The 16,494-nt window shown below is 55.3% G+C and overlaps 1 protein-coding gene and 2 long non-coding RNA genes across 3 annotated transcripts in view, besides 2 other annotated features; 1 reads left to right on the top strand and 2 right to left on the bottom strand.

Annotated features, from left to right (window-relative positions):
* Positions 1-16,494, top strand: part of MYOM3 (myomesin 3) — a 56,095-nt gene that overhangs the window by 5,848 nt on the left and 33,753 nt on the right. The window contains exons 5-13 of the mRNA NM_152372.4: positions 211-368; positions 6,513-6,608; positions 8,277-8,365; positions 10,802-10,846; positions 11,298-11,435; positions 13,180-13,341; positions 13,973-14,114; positions 15,292-15,491; positions 16,170-16,223. Of these exons, the coding sequence (NP_689585.3) occupies positions 211-368; positions 6,513-6,608; positions 8,277-8,365; positions 10,802-10,846; positions 11,298-11,435; positions 13,180-13,341; positions 13,973-14,114; positions 15,292-15,491; positions 16,170-16,223 (1,084 nt within the window). The remainder of the gene's footprint in view (positions 1-210; positions 369-6,512; positions 6,609-8,276; positions 8,366-10,801; positions 10,847-11,297; positions 11,436-13,179; positions 13,342-13,972; positions 14,115-15,291; positions 15,492-16,169; positions 16,224-16,494) is intronic.
* On the bottom strand, positions 2,357-7,582 carry LOC105376864 (uncharacterized). The gene is made up of 4 exons (XR_007065542.1): positions 7,496-7,582; positions 6,848-6,944; positions 5,017-5,117; positions 2,357-2,646 (listed from the first exon to the last, which is right to left on the bottom strand). It is a non-coding gene; the product is annotated as an uncharacterized LOC105376864 (long non-coding RNA).
* Positions 5,015-5,309: a silencer, noted in NCBI's record as "tiled region #3135; K562 Repressive non-DNase unmatched - State 20:ReprD". NCBI's record gives its function as "represses a minimal TATA promoter and a strong SV40 promoter by Sharpr-MPRA in K562 cells {active_cell/tissue: K562}" and the evidence as "EXISTENCE:reporter gene assay evidence [ECO:0000049][PMID:27701403]".
* LOC124903878 (uncharacterized) lies at positions 8,314-10,242 on the bottom strand. Its single transcript, XR_007065543.1, has 3 exons — positions 10,071-10,242; positions 8,698-8,864; positions 8,314-8,447 (listed from the first exon to the last, which is right to left on the bottom strand). It is a non-coding gene; the product is annotated as an uncharacterized LOC124903878 (long non-coding RNA).
* Positions 12,646-13,309: an enhancer, noted in NCBI's record as "H3K27ac-H3K4me1 hESC enhancer chr1:24419469-24420132 (GRCh37/hg19 assembly coordinates)". NCBI's record gives its function as "activates a minimal SCP1, AML or CMV promoter by ChIP-STARR-seq in primed H9 embryonic stem cells {active_cell/tissue: H9 hESC(primed)}" and the evidence as "EXISTENCE:reporter gene assay evidence [ECO:0000049][PMID:30033119]".

Raw genomic sequence — 16,494 nt, 5'->3', positions numbered from 1 at the left:
CAGCTAGTCAATACCTTGACCCCAGGCCAGCTGGCTCCAAAGCCCATGCTCTGCCCACAGTGCCACCCTGCTCAGCTAGGGGAGGGGACCGGGAACTCCAGCCCATGTGGGTCTAACTACAGAGTCTGGGTGTCAGTGGGGAGGTAATGGCAAAGATGGCAGAGAGGTGGTCCCTGGCTCACAGCGTCATACACCTCTTCCCGCCTCCAGACAGAGGAGAAGGTCCAGGAGGCCAAGGAGCTGAGGGAGCTGTGCTACGGCCGCGGGCCCTGGTTCTGGATCCCTCTTCGCTCCCACGCCGTCTGGGAGCACACCACGGTCCTGCTGACCTGCACTGTCCAGGCCTCACCACCACCCCAGGTCACCTGGTAAGCCGCTGGGGCAGGAAGGGGTTCTGGGCCTCTGGGGTCACAAGTGAGTTCCTCACATCCAATACTTCTGCCAGGACTTCTTGTTGCAGACCTGTGAACCCTGAGCTCTGTCCACCCACCGAATAGAGCAGCTGCTGGGGAACCAGGCCTGGGTTATTTTTTTTAGAGGCGGGGCCTCGCTCAGGCTGCTGTGTGCAGTGGAGTAATCATAGCTCACTGCAGTCTTGACTCCTGGGCTCAAGTGATCCTCCCATCTCAGCCTCCCAAGTAGCTGGGACCACAGGCACAAGCCACCACGCCCAGCTTAGGCCTGGGTTATTCTTAGCTGCCCCGCAGCCAGCCTGGGGCTGGAAGACTGGGCCCCTGGGGAGCCAGCCCTCATAAAAATATGATTCTGGTCTCATGAGAAGGCAGGTGCTGCAAGCTGGGCGTCTCCAGGGTTGAGGATGACGGTGAGAGGCAGGACAGGGGCCAAGTAGCAGGGAGACAGTGGGTGGGGCAGGGAGAAGATGGGAAGGGAAGGGCCTACGGAGAAGGAGCTCACGCCTGTAGCGAGAACCTTGTGTTCCCAGCCTCGCTTTCTGCCTCTCTCCTCACTCAGCGTGAGGTCTCAGCCATGCCTCTTAAACTGCCTGGTCCTGACTCCATTTCCTGTTCTGAAGAGTGGATTGAAGACCTCCTGTCCGGCCTGCATGTGATGAGAATTTAACGCCACAACAGCATGGAAACCTCAGGGCTTGAAGGGGGCTGGGAAAGCAGGAGATGCCCTTCCTGGGAGGGGAACCATGGCAGAATCCCAGAGGCTAGGCCTCGCCTGGGGAGGGGCGGGGCAGGGGCAGGGGCAGGGGTCTCCTGCACAGGCACACATTGGAGTAGGCATGGCCGCGGCCCAGGTCTCAGTCTCACCACAGAAGGAGACGTGTCATTCACATGGCTAAGCTACTCTTTCCTGAGATCCCCCTGGGTCTAAGGCCCATTGCCCAGTACCCTGGGGGATGAGGAAGGGCTTTCAACAAATATTTACTGAGGGTGTCATCTATCCCAGGACCTGACTGAGGCACTGGGGCACACAAATAACCAAACAAGCCCAGGCCCACCTCCAGCACTTTGGGAAGCCAAGGAGGGAGGACCACTTGAACCCAGGAGTTTGAGAACATCTTGGGCAGCTGGCGAGACCCCATCTCTACAGGAAATTTAAAAATTAGCTGGGCATGTGGCCTGCACCTGTAGTCCCAGCTACTTGGGAAACCCTGTCTCTACTAAAAATACAAAAATTAGCTGGGTATGGTGGCGGGTGCCTGTAATCCCAGCTACTTGGGAGGCTGAGACAAGAGAATCGCTTGAACCCGGGAGGCGGAGGTTGCAGTGAGCCGAGATTGTGCCACTGCACTTCAGCCTGGGTGACAGAACAGGACTCTGTCTCAAAAAAAAAGAAAAGAAATAACCAGACACAATCTCACCTTCAAGGAATTAACTCTTAGCCCAGAAAAGAAACATCAACACACAAAGAAGTATACTCGTGGGTGATATTTGAGATCAAAGAGTCTGGGTGAAAAGGAAGAAGGAGCTACCTCAGCCCATAGAATCCAGGAAGGCTTCTCAGAAGAGGTTGCCTATGAGCCAGATCTTGACAGGGAACAGCCTATGGTCTAGCAGGAGAGAGAACAGGGGCACAAATAATGGAAAACACAAAGGAAAACAGCAGCCTCTTATATTTGAATCCACGTCACACTGACCCAAAACTTCACTTGCATTTGAGCATCAGGGCCATTCATGAGATAGGAACCATTATGCCTATTACACAGGTAAGGATATCAAGGCTCAGAGAGGTAGTGTGACTTATCTAAGGTCACACAGCCAATGTGAGTCAGGATTCAAACTCAGGTCTCCTGCCTCTAAGCGCATAACTCTTTCAGCTGGCCTAGAGGGTAGGAGAGTGATTATTACTGCTGTGGGATAATTAAAGAATCAGAGAGATGGAGGGGTTGAAAAGGAATTATTTAATTATTTAGGTGCACCAACCCAGTCGGATTAACATCCAAAGGACTGAGCCATGAACAAAGAGTCAAGCTACCTTTTAAGCATTTTGTGGGGCGGGGGGAGATCTGTGCAGGGGGAAGCATATTACAGAAGCATGAAACAAAGACAGTTATTCAATTAAGACACGCATTACATCATTTCTTACTTTTCAAGGCAAAACGTGTTTTACAACTTGAGTTTATCTGCCTAGTGACCTTGCAGCTGCACAGCCAGAGAAACAGGGTCTTCACAATGCCTGGGAAAGGGAGAGATAAGGGTCACTAGCCACCGAAAAACAGGCAGTTAATTTTTAAAGGACTTCAGCTCTTTCTCTTCCTCAAGGGAAATTGGGTTTTCTTACATACAACTGAGTTTTTGCTTACACATTCTTTACTTTCTTTTAATTCCTGTTCCATTATAAGTGTTACTTTCCTTAAAGCACATACAATGCTTCAGAAGACAGAGAAATAGAAATCACTCAGGCCAGGAGCAATCAAGAAAGGATCTTGAGGGAGCTGGCCTCAGGGCTGGTCATTCCCAGCTGGCATTTATTCCAAAAACTATGCCAAGTACCTTGCTGGGCACTGGGATGCTGTGGGGACTGGGCGATCCCCGCACGCAAGTTGCTGATCCCACTAGGAGGACTGCTCCCAGCGCTGGCCAGGCCAAGTGGAGGTTAGCAACTCAGCTGTCCTCCCCGCAGCCAAGCTCTGCGCGGCCCTGGCACTGAGGACCACATTGAAGGCATTCTTGGAAGCCTCTTGGGAGTTGTTTCTACCCCTGCCAACGAGGTTGCCACAACAGGGAGCTGAGCATTCCTGACAAGTGGCAGAAGCCAAGCCCAGGTCCACCTCCAGCCTGGGCAACTCAGGTGGCCCCTGGCACTCCTGGCTTGGTGGATCTGGTTTTCCATCATCAATCACATCAGGCAGGGCCACATGTTGCCCCAGGACTGACCTCCAGAGGTTCCGTCCAGCCCCAGGGCTGGAGGAATATTCCAGCTCACCTGTTAGGCAAGTCTATTCATTCAATGATTATCATTATTATTATTTAGAAATAAGGTCTCACTCTGTTGCCAGGCTGGAGTGCAGTGGTGCAGTCACAGCTCACTGCAGCCTCAACTTCCTGGGCTCAAGCGATCGTCCTACCTCAGCCTCCCAAGTAGCTGGGACCACAGTCATGTGCCCCCACACCTGGCTAACTTTTCAATTTTTTTGTAGACAGAGTCTCACTATGTTGCCCAGGCTGTCTCGAACTCCTGGCCTCAAGTAGTCCTCCCATCTCAGTCTCCCAAAGCTCTGGGAATACAGGCATGAGCCACTATGCCTGCTCTTATTTTCTTTTTTTAAAGCAATCTTTTTTTCTTTTTAAGATGGAGTCTCATTCTGTTGCCCAGGCTGACTGCACAGGCGGACACTAAGGCCCAGAGAGAGGGAGGGGTGAGCGTTGAGGTCTCCAGCTGTCTCGGCCATGCCAGAGCCACAGCAGCTGCTTTTTCCAGGAAAAGCAGAGCTGGCCAGGCTGAGGTGTCTGGAATCTTCCCGACAGGTGTGTGGTAGGGGGCCTAACCCTGGCCCCCAGGCCTGGAGAGCTGGAGAGATTGGGCACCCAGATTAGGCAACACCCTCCCTGTGGGAGGTTTAGCGGAGCTCCTTTCAGGAGGGGGCCAGGCTGGGGGCTGCATGGTGGGGCGTGGGTGTGGCTGTGTTTGGTTGCCCTGGAGACAAACATGGCATGGGTGAGGCCAGGTCCAGGGAAGGATGCAGGCTGAGGCTGGGGTGCCCTCTCTCTGGGAGGCCTCCTCTTCAACCTCAGCCACCCACACAGGGCAGAGAGAAGCATTCATCCCATGAGACTCCATTCCATGGCTTCAGGGACACAGAGGCCCAGAGAGGGGTATGGAGTTGCCTAAGGTCACACAGCAAGCTGTGTCAAAATCCAGGCCTCCTAAGTGTCACTCACCCTCACTCCTCAGCCCCTACTCCTTAGGCCTCCAGGACCCCAGGCCACCCCACTGTCCTGTTCACACAACACGGGGAACAAGACCCAAGTTCACAGAAAATGAGGGCGGCATCCAGGGCAGGGCAATCGCTTGACTACCCTTGGGAATCACCAGAGGACATTAAGAAAAACAAATTTTTTTTTTGAGACAGGGTCTTGCTCTATCACCCAGGCTGTAGTGCAGTGGCACAATCATGGTTTGCTACAGCCTCAGACTCCTGGCCTCAAGCAGTCCTCCTGCCTCAGCCTCCTGAGTAGCTAGGATGACAGGCACACCCCACCACACCCAGCTAATTATTTTAAAGAATATTTTGTAAAGATGGGGTCTTGCTATGTTGCCCAGGCTGATCTTAAACTCCTGGCCTCAAGCAATCCTCCAGCCTTGGCCTCCCAAAGTGTTGGGATTACAGGCATGAGCCACCACATACGACCTCACCAGGGGATTTTCAAAATACTGATCCCAGGGTATCAATATACTGATCCTAGGGTCTAACCCCCCCGAAATTCTGATTTCATTGATTTGGGATGCAGCCTGGACCTGGAGTTTTGTTTTGTTTTTAATGGCTTAAATAAGCTAGAAGCTTGTTTTCTTCCATCTAAACGTCTGGATGCAGACGGCACAGACCTGCTGCACAGATTCCCCAGGGACTGAGCTTCTCCACATCACTACTGGAGAGGCAGCCCTGAACTTCGGCATGTGAGACAGCCGCCGGCACCTCCCTGTTCCTGCCAAGGACAGAGGGAACAATGATGTGAAAGGGGGCAAAGGGTGTCATCAGGAGCAGCCACATGACTCTTGTCCCCGCTTGCTGTTGACAATGCTAAGTCATATGGCCACACCGAGCAGAAAGAGAGGCAAGGAGATCCGTCATATATTGGGTGGCCCGTGGGTAAATTCTGTTTCCCCCGAGAATGGCTATTGGAGAATAATTAGCAGTTTCCGATACAAATTCCCACAGCCGTATGTTCAAAAACTGAACATGGAGATTTTTTCCTTTTTTTTTTTTTTTGAGACGGAGTCTCGCTCTGTTGCCCAGGCTGGAGTGCAGTGGCGCGATCTCTGCTCATTGCAAGCTCCGCCCCCTGGGTTCATGTCATTCTGCTGCCTCAACCTCCCGAGTAGCTGGGACTACAGGCGCCCGCCACCACGCCCGACTAATGTTTTTGTATTTTTAGGAGAAACGGGGTTTCACAGTGTTAGCCAGGATAGTCTCGAGCTCCTGACCTCGTGATCCGCCCGCCTCAGCCTCCCAAAGTGCTGGGATTACAGGCGTGAGCCACCGTGCCCGGCCTGGACATGGAGATTTTTGAAAGCTCCTCCGGCTATTGTAATGAGAGCCAAAATGAAGAATAGCCATCCTCAGGGGTTGGGAAGAGCGGCAGGGGTCTGGGGTTCCTTCCACGGCAAGCCCCTTCGGAGGGAAGGGAAAAGCTGGGGCCTGGTCCTAGGGTGCCCCTGGGGATGGCTTGGTAGGGGGAGGGGCAGCTGCCCTTAATTACAGGCTCCCTCTTCTCTGCCCCCAGAAGGGAAATAAACCCTTGAGCACCTGCGGTGTGTGGGCACAGGGGAAAGGCTTTATAAGCCCATCCCATTTAATTGTCACAGCAGCCCTGTGAGGCGAGTGTTCTCATACCGCCATTTCACGAGTCAGGACAACTGAGGCTCAGAGTGGCGTAAGTGCTGCTCCAATCGCACAGGCAAGTAAGCAACACAAAACTGCAACTGGAGGCCAGGCGCGGTGGTTCACGCCTATAATCTTAGCACTTTAGGAGGCTGAGGCGGGCGGATCACCTGAGGTCAGGAATTCGAGACCAGCCTAGCCAACATGGGGAAACTCCGTCTCTACTAGAAATACAAAAATTAGCCGGGCGTGGTGGAAGGCGTCTGTAATCCCAGCTACTCAGGAGGCTGAGGCAGGGAGAACTGCTTGAACCCAAGAGGCGGAGGTTGCAGTGAGCTGAGATTGTACTACTGCGCTCCAGCCTGGGTGACAAAGCAAAACTCCGTCTCAAAAAAACAAAACAAAACAAAAACCTGCAGCTGGAATCCCCATCCGAGAGGCTCCAGACCCCTCCCGCTTAGAACCACCCTGCCTGCCACAGACCGCTATGTCCCCACAGGTACAAAAATGACACACGGATTGATCCCCGCCTCTTTCGTGCCGGAAAATACCGAATCACCAACAACTACGGGCTGCTGTCCCTGGAGATTAGGAGGTGAGACTGGAGACCTGGAGAGACCTATGACCCCAGACCCTGCCACCGCCGAGGCCAGAGCAGGATCCCAAACCCTTCCTCGGAGCTGAGGCCCAAGTTCACCTCCTTCAGAAGTCTCTAGGGTGCTGGTCAAAATACCGATTCCTGGGACAGGACAGACCCTCCCCCCACCCCCAGAGATTCAGATTAAGCAGGTCTGGAATGGAGCCCAGGAATTAATATTTAACACACACACCCACCATGTGATTCCGATGCCTTGAGATACACGGTGAGAAATTTGGACTCAGAGGCTGGCCGTGAGGACTGGATGCTGAACTAGGCATGCTGGGAAGGCTCCTTGTGGGGGAGAGAAAAATACCATAATATGCACACATATGCACCTGTGCACACACATATGCATACATGCACATACACAGTGCTCACACATGTGCTTATGTACCCAAACATACACATGTGAGGGGAAGCAGTGACATGGGAGAGAGTTCAGCCTTTCAGGAGATGGTGCGTCCTAAGCATGGTTTTGAGGGAAGAGGCAGGATGCATGCTGGGAGGCCACACGGGAATATAAGAGTGCAGTCCTCCCCAAGGCCTGTGTCACTCATCATTCATATCAGCTGCCACACGCTGAGTTCCTCCCAGGTGCCAGGCCCTGTGCTGGGTGCTTTTCACATACGATCCATAATCCCTGCCACCATGCTTGAGGGAAGCACCCCATGTCGCAGGTGATGAAACAGGCTCAGAAAGTTAAGGCTCTTGTACAGCTACTATGCGACAGGGCCTGGTGTGAGCCATTTCTCTCTATCTGGGTTGTTTCCCAAACACCAAACCCTCCACCTCAACCAACCCAGGCCTCAGAGACACAAAGATAAGCAGAACACTCATCTTACCCTTCAGAAGTGGGGAGACATAAATATCTGACCATATAAGGGAGGTGCCCCATGGACTCCACAGTCAAGGAAGGTGCGCAGGCCCAGGGGGACCTCCGGGGCAGGCAGGACTGGCCCTGGAAGCAAGAGGGGTTCCTGTGCTGAGTGACCAGGGGCAAAAAGGAGGCACCAAGGGGCCTCTGCTTGCTAATGGGGCCAGAGGTGCCACATCCGACCACCTCCTCTCTGTCACCAGGGTGCCCCTGGGATGGAGCTGGCCCAGGCTTCCACTGGGAACATGACAGGGTTGGCCTGGTTGGTGGTGAGACCCACACCTAAGACTGGGAACACCTGGGTGTCTGGCTCAGTTCTATCCAGATTGCAGCCTGCCTTGACCAAGTTTGTCTGCTGCTCTCTGAGAAAGGAGGAGGCTCCCGCTCCAGGATCCTTGTTTGAAGCTGAGTTGAGTTCCATTTGCTCTGTGACTCTGGGAAAGTCACTTAACCTCTCTGATCCTCCACAGTCAGCAATAACTGCAATGTGGCATGTCATATTTTTAAAGCACTTTCTCCTGAGACGGTTTAGGTGGTGTCGTGTCCCCAGTTTTTCAGAGGACACCGAAGCATGGAAAGGTGCAGTGGCCAACCAGAAAACACACAGCTTTTCAGAGATAATGACCAAAGTCTCTTCCTGGCACCGTGAGGCTTTCCTTAGTTCCAGCCTTTCCCACCCACACAGGGGACTTGTGTTTCCCATGGAGCCCAGCAGTCTTGGGAGGAACTTCTCCCTCTCTCCTTTTCAGATGCGCCATTGAGGACTCAGCAACTTACACTGTGCGAGTGAAGAACGCCCACGGCCAGGCCTCCTCCTTCGCCAAAGTCCTCGTCCGCAGTAAGTCCTCCCAACCCCAACAGGCACTCCGGGCCACAGCAAACCCAAGCTGGGCAGACAAGGACATGGGTCTGCGTGAGACCTGAGGAAGGGCCATAGGCACAAGGCTGTTCAGCCTGGCATTGGGTGACCAGGGCAGCCCTGGAGACTCCCGCTTCCCTGGGGGCCTTCACAGCAAGCGATAGTCTCCTCCATCAGCCTGGGCTGATGGTGGAAGGTGAGTGAGGCAGGATCACCTGTCCCTGTGGGTTGGTGTCAAGAGCAGCTGGGAGATGGGAAGGGAACTGACCTCTCCTGAGTCTTCACTGTGTGCCAGACACCCTTGATAGTACCTGATTCCATCCTGAGCCAGCCGGTGGCAGGGCTGGGACTTGAACTCAGCTCTCTCTGTAGAGTCATCACTGGCATGGTGGGCACCTTTGTGTGAACTGAATGGATGAATTAGCGAAAGGGGCCCCTTTTCTGCAGGCAGGTGCAGCTCCCACTCCAGGGCACATGGCTTGGCAAATGGAAAACAGACTGAATTTTAGCCCCCAAGTTGCTCTCTCAGGGGATAACTTTGCACAGAGCACAACCTACACAGTTATTCAAGGCGAACCCACCTGCCCGCCATGCCAAAGAGCATGCTTGGCCCACCGGATTGCGCTTAGGTTGGGATCCATCTCAGGGCCTCTGGGAGGGTGGTCTGGCCCCACCAACCCTGCTGAGGGGTCCTCAGGGACAAAAGCCAAACCCCAGCAACTCCCCACCTGACCCCCACTGCCCCATGTGGGTCCTTTTGCACATTTTCCAGCTGGGCTTGGGCCCCTCCTGGAGGTCACCCCATGGGCATCTGAAATCACAGCATAAAGCAGGTAGACACTCAGGAGTCAGCCAGACCTGAGTTCACATCCTGGCTCTGCTGCCAACTGGCTGTGTAAATCTGGGAAGCCACCTCACTTCCCTGAGCCTCTATTTCCTCATCTGTGAAAGGGAGAATCCTACAATCCTACCACCTCTCTCAGATGCCCGAGTTGATTAAATGAGATGATACGTATAAGCCTTGGCATGTGGTACCCATTCCCATGACCAGGGCAGGGCACTGCCCAAGGGGGTCACACCTTTGGGCCCAGAAGAATGCCGTGCCCTGAGTTCCAGGACCCCCGGGAGAGAGAAGCCCACGTGTGCACACATACACACACACACACACGTGCACTCATACACACACGCGCACTCATACACACACTCCTGAGGCAGCTGTCTTGGGCAGTAGACAGGTGGATCCCAGGCCACCCTCCCTGCCTCTCATCAGACCTTGTTAAACTGTCCTGCACAGCCCTCTCCACCCACTGTCCTGTTCCCTAAATAGCTCTTAGGAGGCAGATCCTGCTGCCAGGCCAAGCTCTTGTGCAGAAATTTGAGCTGTCCCCACAGTCCATGCCCAGAGTCAAGCCCAAGGTCAGGGACTGGGGCCCTGCCTCCCTCTGCCCACCCGTCCTTCCCACCACTCCTTCCAGATCCCTGTCCCTCTCTCCATCAAGGCTGGCAACTCCAGGGTCCACCAGGCTTGCTCTTGGCCCCAGACTCCAGCCAACCCTCTGCTTCTCCTACTCCACTCACCGCCACTACCACCCTCTTCTCTGCTTTCATCTCCGTAGCCACTTGGGTGATTTTAGTGGCCTGGGGGACAGGAGCCCTGAGTTCCAATCCTGACTCTTCCACTGACCTGTGTGATCTCGGGCAGCCTCCTGCCCTTCTCTGGACCTTGCTCAGGAAGGGCCTTTCCAGGGACCAGTGTCATGTCATAGCTTCAGGCTGCTGGGGTGTTGTCTGGACGGCTGTGCCTCAGTTTTCTCTTCTGTTTGAGAGGATAATAATAGTACCAACTGACAGGGCTGTTGTGAAGATAGAATGAGTCAATGTGTTTATGTGTTTAATTGGCTCGTTCAATCCTCAGAGCATGGGGCGAGCACTGTGTGAGTGAGAGCTGCTGTTACTATTCTCTGGTGGTCTGTGGCAACATTACCTTGGATTTCACCCTTCAGCCCCTGGATGCCTCTCAGTGCTGCCCCTCCCCCACCACTCTCCCTGATCCCACCAGAAATCCCCGCGCCTCTGAGCGGGCTTGACCGCTGTGAAGACAGTGCATAATCCTGGGGGCAAGTTTGGGTAGGGAAAGGAAACCAGCATGTATTGAGAACCTGCCATGTGTCAGGCTATGGCTGGTGGCTTGATTCATGTGAACCCGCTCGTTCCTTGCTCCAGGTAGGAATTACTGTCCCATTTTACTGCTGAAGAAACTGAGGCACAGAGAGGTAAAAGAACTTTCCCAAAGCCACAAGGGGAAGCCACCAACAGACCAGGACTCAAACTCATATCCAAAGCCCATGTCCCCAAAATAGCATAGGAATGTGGGCTCTGAACCTTCTCCAACTCTGTTTGCCTTTGGTTTTTCAGCTTACCTGGGGAAGGATGCTGGCTTCGATTCAGAGATCTTCAAAAGTAAGTCGGCTGGGGGAGAACGGGACCTGGGATTCTTTGTTCAGGCTTTGCTCCCCGACCCCCACAGTCCCTGTTTAGAATATAGCCATCCCCTGCCCATAAAAGGACGTCCACCGGGGTTTGTCTATGAGCTGGTAATACCTGCACCTGACTTCTAAAGGCCGCAGGGTACCCCAGAGCTGTCCCCAGCTGCTGAGCTGTTCTCTGACCTAAACTGGGTTTGAAAGGCAAAGCCAGAAAAACCAACGGACTTGGCCTTGGGATGTTTGCTCTTTGGCTGCTCTGACCACTACCTAGATAAGTCTCTTCCCCTCCTACCCCAAGGCCAGGTCCCCTTCTCCTAGTCAAGACCCAGAAGAGAAGGGATGCCCCAGAAATTTCCTCACTCCTAAGTCCCAGGCCAGGCTGGCTGCCTCAAAAACTTCTGCCCCAAATTTCATTCCCACGCCAGGATCGACGTTTGGCCCCAGCGTGGAATTCACCTCGGTGCTGAAGCCAGTCTTTGCTCGTGAGAAGGAACCCTTCTCCCTGTCATGCTTGTTTTCGGAAGATGTGTTAGATGCTGAGAGCATCCAGTGGTTCCGAGATGGTAAGGACCCCCAGTCCTGGCCCCCAGCCTCCAGAGCTGGCCCCTCCAAAGCTCAACTCAGAGCCAGAGAGGACCCCTAGCGGACAGAGACTCTCCCCAACCAGTACCAACTGTGCTAAAGTGCTGAAGAGGCAGAGGAGAGCGGGAGTGCAGCCAGGTGTGGTCAGATCATGCCACCCCATAAATGGCCACCAAGCATCTGTGGGGTGCCAGGCCCTGGGTTAGGGCTGGGGTAAATGGTAGGGGCAGATGTGCATGAGCCCAGGGGGCTGTGTCCACCTGGGAGGAGGGAGGAAGCCATCAGCACAATTGTAGCCGCTGGCACTGACCAGGCACCTGCTCAGCCATTTGCATGCATCATTACCTCCCTAAGAGTGAGGGAGGGAGGCCAGGCGTGGTGGCTCACACCTGTAATCCTAGCACTCTGGGAGGCTGAGGTGGGTGGATCACCTGAGGTCAAGAGTTCAGGTCTAGCCAACATGGCAAAACCCCATCTTTACTAAAAATACCAAAAATTAGCCAGGCATGTTGGTGGGTGCCTGTAATCTAGCTACTCGGGAGGCTGAGGCAGGAGAATCGCTTGAACCCAGGAGGCAGAGGTCGCAGTGAGCCGAGATGGCACCATTGCACTCCAGCCTGGGGGACAAGAGCAAGACTCCATCTCAAAAAAAAAAAAAAAAAAAAGTGAGTGAGGGCACTCAAAGCAATGGGAACAGAGCCCCAAGATCGGGAGGCAGGAGGGCACCACAAGTGCTCAGGGCAGGCTGCAACAGTTGCATCGGACTTTGCAGAGTCAGGGTGGTGGTGCAGATACAGTTGCTGACCCGTGGGCTGGGAGGCCTCTGGGGATGTCTCAGGCGAGGCCTTGAGAAGCCTGGTCAGAGCCAAGGCAGGAAGACGTGGCCCAGTGAGGGAGGAGGACGACGGCTGGACCTCCTACCCAATCCATGACTAGGCCTATAGCCTAAGGACCCAGAGTACAGTGCCCCTCTGGCACCCCCAGCTCTGAGCCCAGGGAGGCTGCACCTGCTGGGAGCAGGGAGTATGGGAGCCATCAGGATCCCTGACAGCTGCAATAACAAGGCTGAGACGTCTTCCCAAACGTGTAGATCTTCCAGAATGGAGGTGCTGAATGGAGGGCGGATCCTTCACATGGGGCAAAGAGAAGAGCTGGCCCCACAGTGTGGCCTCAAGGCAGGGCCCGCCCCTGAGCCCTGGACTCCACTTCTGAGTCCCCATCCACCTCCTAAGCTCCCATCCCGAGAGCCCTCACTCCCTTACCTGACCCCTGACCCCACGACACGTCCTCCACCCGCCTCACCGAGGCCCCAGCTCTCTCAGTGAGACCCAGGCCCTTTACTGAGCTCCCACCTCCCCCAAACGGGCCCTCCTTCTTTGAGTCCCCTGACCCCATACAGGGACCCATCTCTCTTGCTCCTACTCCCTCAGAGAACCTACAACTCCTCACCTTGTCACTGGCTATGTCCCTAAACCCTCACTCCCTCATTGAGCCCCAGCCCCGCACTGGCCCTTCCCTACTCCCCAAGCCCTCTGCAAAGGAGAGTTCTCCACTGCCTGCCTTGGCAAAGCCCTGGAGGCCACCACCCCCACCCAAGGCCTGAGCTGAGCCTCACCAGCCTCTCTCTCTGCCCAGCCAGGGTCTCCAGACCCCCCAGTTTCTGTGGTTCCCAGGTGAGACCAGGACCCCCCACAAACTCAATGGCCCCCCACTTCCCCTCCACAGGGAGCCTACTGAGGTCCTCGAGACGTCGGAAGATCCTCTACACAGACCGCCAGGCATCCCTGAAGGTGTCCTGCACCTACAAGGAGGACGAGGGGCTCTACATGGTCCGGGTGCCCTCGCCCTTCGGACCCCGGGAACAGAGCACCTACGTGCTTGTGAGAGGTGAGGGCATGGGTGGGCGCAGGGTAGCAGCAGGAGCCCAGAGACCAGGGCTCTGCCCCTTGTTTGCTGTGGAACCTTAGGCAAGGACCCTGCTCTCTTGGGGCCTCAATTTCTCTACCATAAAATCAGGGCTTTGGGTTGGGGTCTCCAAGACTCCCCGTGGCATCCTATGACCCTCCAAAGGGACATGGCCCGAGAGTTAGCCTGGCTGGAGCCAGGGAGGCTGGGAGCTGAGTGTGGGGCTGGAGTGATTCTGGCCACTGCTTAGGGCCTGGGTTCACATCCTGGCTTTGTCACTTCACCAGCTGGGTGACTTTGGGCAGGTCACTCACTCACCTCCAGGAGACTCAGTTTCCCCATCCAAAGAGGGGAAGGCTGCTCTGGGGCTGGAATTAATTATTCCACTTGTTCAGGTACTTGGTGTAAAATGGGCCCCCAAGAAATGGTACTGTCATCCTTCCCTCAGATACTGCTATGGGGGTAGTGGGACTAATATTCAGGCCCCAGTCCTCAAGATCAAAACTGAGCCCCTGGAGGATGGATGAGAAGAGGATGCTGGGCGGGAGTGGGAAGGGCCTGTCACCAAATGGCCACTGACTAGAAGGGCCTCCCTCTCACCCCCGGGTTTCAGATGCCGAGGCCGAGAACCCCGGGGCCCCAGGCTCCCCACTGAACGTCCGATGCCTGGATGTGAACAGAGACTGCCTCATCCTGACTTGGGCCCCGCCCAGTGACACCCGGGGCAACCCCATCACTGCCTACACCATTGAGCGGTGAGTCGACCTCGTGAGTGGCAGAGGCCCTAGGGGTAGAATTCTGTCTGGTGGTGGGAGCCACAGCAAAGAGGAGGCCCCATGTCTGACCTCAGAGAACCCTCACACCCCCGCTCCTCAGAAAAGGACAGGAGACAGGCTGTGCTGTGTCATTTAGGGGCAATGGAGGGGCATCCACACCTCCAAGTCTTTGTCATGCTGATAACTGGAATTCTATGCTGGAGTCGGCCACTGCCCTGTGGACCCTCTAGAGCTGACCCAGAGGGGCAAAACGGGGAGTGCTTGAACCCTGAGCACAGTGAATTCGTGGGCTAGTTTCCTTCCTAATGACAGAGAGAGATGGAATAGCACTGACCCCAAGGGAGGAGGCAAACAGGTAGAGAGGCCAGAACCTCCGGCCTTTTTCCAGTGTGGCCGGCTCTGAAGGCCCAGCTTGAGAAAATAGCTAATGCTGCCACGGACAGGCTCATGACCGTGCTAAGGGCATGCCTCATCTCTTTCCATCCTTCCAATGACCCGTCTCTAAAGGGGAGGGGGACTATCTAATGCCCTCTTCTATAGATGGGGAAACCAAAGTATGTGGGGAGATGACTTTGCTCAAAGACACATTTGTCATTAGTGGTGGAGACAAGACTTGGACCCACATGTGACGACTACCTCAACCAGCTGGTAACAATAAGGGTAACGTGCACTGTCGTACTGCCTGGAACAATGGTACCAAGAGGGTACAGAGAGCCCAGGCTTGGAGGGTCAACCTGGAATGCATGCCAACTTAGGGAGGGGACAAGCTCAGGTAAATCCTAACTGTGTGACCTTGGGCAGGTCTTGTCACTCTCTGAGCCACAGATCCTCCATGTGTGCAGTGAAGGTGACCACACGTGCCCCCTAGGACTGCCAGGGAGATAAAACGAGGGCTGGGTGTGGAGGGCACAGCACAGTCACAGGCTCACGATGATGCCCCATGAAAGGCACTGCTGCTGGTCAGTGTCAGGGATGGTGAAAAGGTCTCCCGGGGGCCCGAGGTTGGAGCCAGGCTCTTCCATTGGAGAGAAGAACTTTAATTGGCAGAGATGAGCTGGGCAGGCTCCCCCAGTCAGAGAAAGGCCCTTGTAGAGGCTCACATTGGGAAGGTGTGCATTGTGGGCAGGGGCTGAAAGGGGGGGCCTGTCTCCAACAGGTGCCAGGGCGAGTCTGGGGAATGGATCGCCTGCCATGAGGCCCCCGGAGGGACTTGTCGGTGCCCAATCCAAGGCCTCGTCGAAGGTCAGAGCTATCGGTTCCGGGTGAGAGCCATCAGCAGGGTAGGCAGCAGCGTCCCCTCCAAGGCCTCAGAGTTGGTTGTCATGGGTGACCATGATGCAGCCCGGAGGAAGACAGGTGGGTACAGAGGTCCTAAGCGACTTTCTAGAACATCAGTCAGGGAACCCTCAGGACTGTCTCACACAGGAGACAATCCAGCCCTCAGGAGCCCCGAGTCTGGTGGAGGAAGCACAGCCCAGCCCTCAGTAAACACTAGTCTGATGAAGGAGACAAAGGCCAGCCCTCGAGAACTTCCAGTCTGATGGAGGAGACACAATCCGGTCCTTAGGAACCCCTAGCCTGAGAAGGAAGATACAGCTAGTCTAATGGGAGAAACCAAACCTGTCCATGGGAGAGACCAGTCTGAGGGAGCACCCTACCCCAGCACCTGTCAGATGTCCTTAAGCTCGAGTGCGGGGACACGGCCTCCTCTCAGCCCTCGGGAGCCACGCTGACTTGGGTGTGCTAGAAGCTCCACCGTGGCAGGGTGCCCAGCGCCAGGCACCTCCCTCCTCCTCTCTGTCTCCACTTGTCCCAAGAGGAAGAGCATGTGCCAGGGCCTGAGAGCAGCAGGGCTCCACTTGGGACTCCTGAGAAAGCTGAGGCCAGAGGGAGGGCACCTGTCTGAGGTTGCACAGCGAGGGCTGCAAGGCCAGGACTGGGACGGGGCAGGACGCAGACCCTGGTGTGGGGTAGCTCCTGGCCTAACTCCTCCTGTGCCACCCCCCACCCTCCCATGCTCCCTTCTCATCCTAGAGATCCCCTTTGATCTGGGAAACAAGATCACCATCAGCACAGACGCTTTTGAAGGTACGCGGGATCCTCCCACACACTGGGCCTCCTGTATAGTTCTCAAAACTCTGGGACATGAGCTGGCAAAGAGGCAGAAGCTGTCCCAGTGCAGGGTGTGGGGGATGAGGGCAGGTGGGGCCTAGTTGGAGGCAGTCAGAGTGCTGGGGTCACTGTGGCCCATCTGGCTGTGGCCCTCCTGGAGGAGGGAACACATTGGGAAAAGTCCTGGCCAGAGCAGTGGGAGACCTGGGTTCTAGCCCCGGCTCTGCCCAGCATTGCTGAGTGACCT

The sequence above is a fragment of the Homo sapiens genome, chromosome 1 (assembly GCF_000001405.40).
Source record: "Homo sapiens chromosome 1, GRCh38.p14 Primary Assembly".
NCBI lineage: Eukaryota > Metazoa > Chordata > Mammalia > Primates > Hominidae > Homo > Homo sapiens.
Note: the sequence above shows the minus strand (reverse complement) of the source record. Positions and strands in the feature narration are given on the sequence as shown.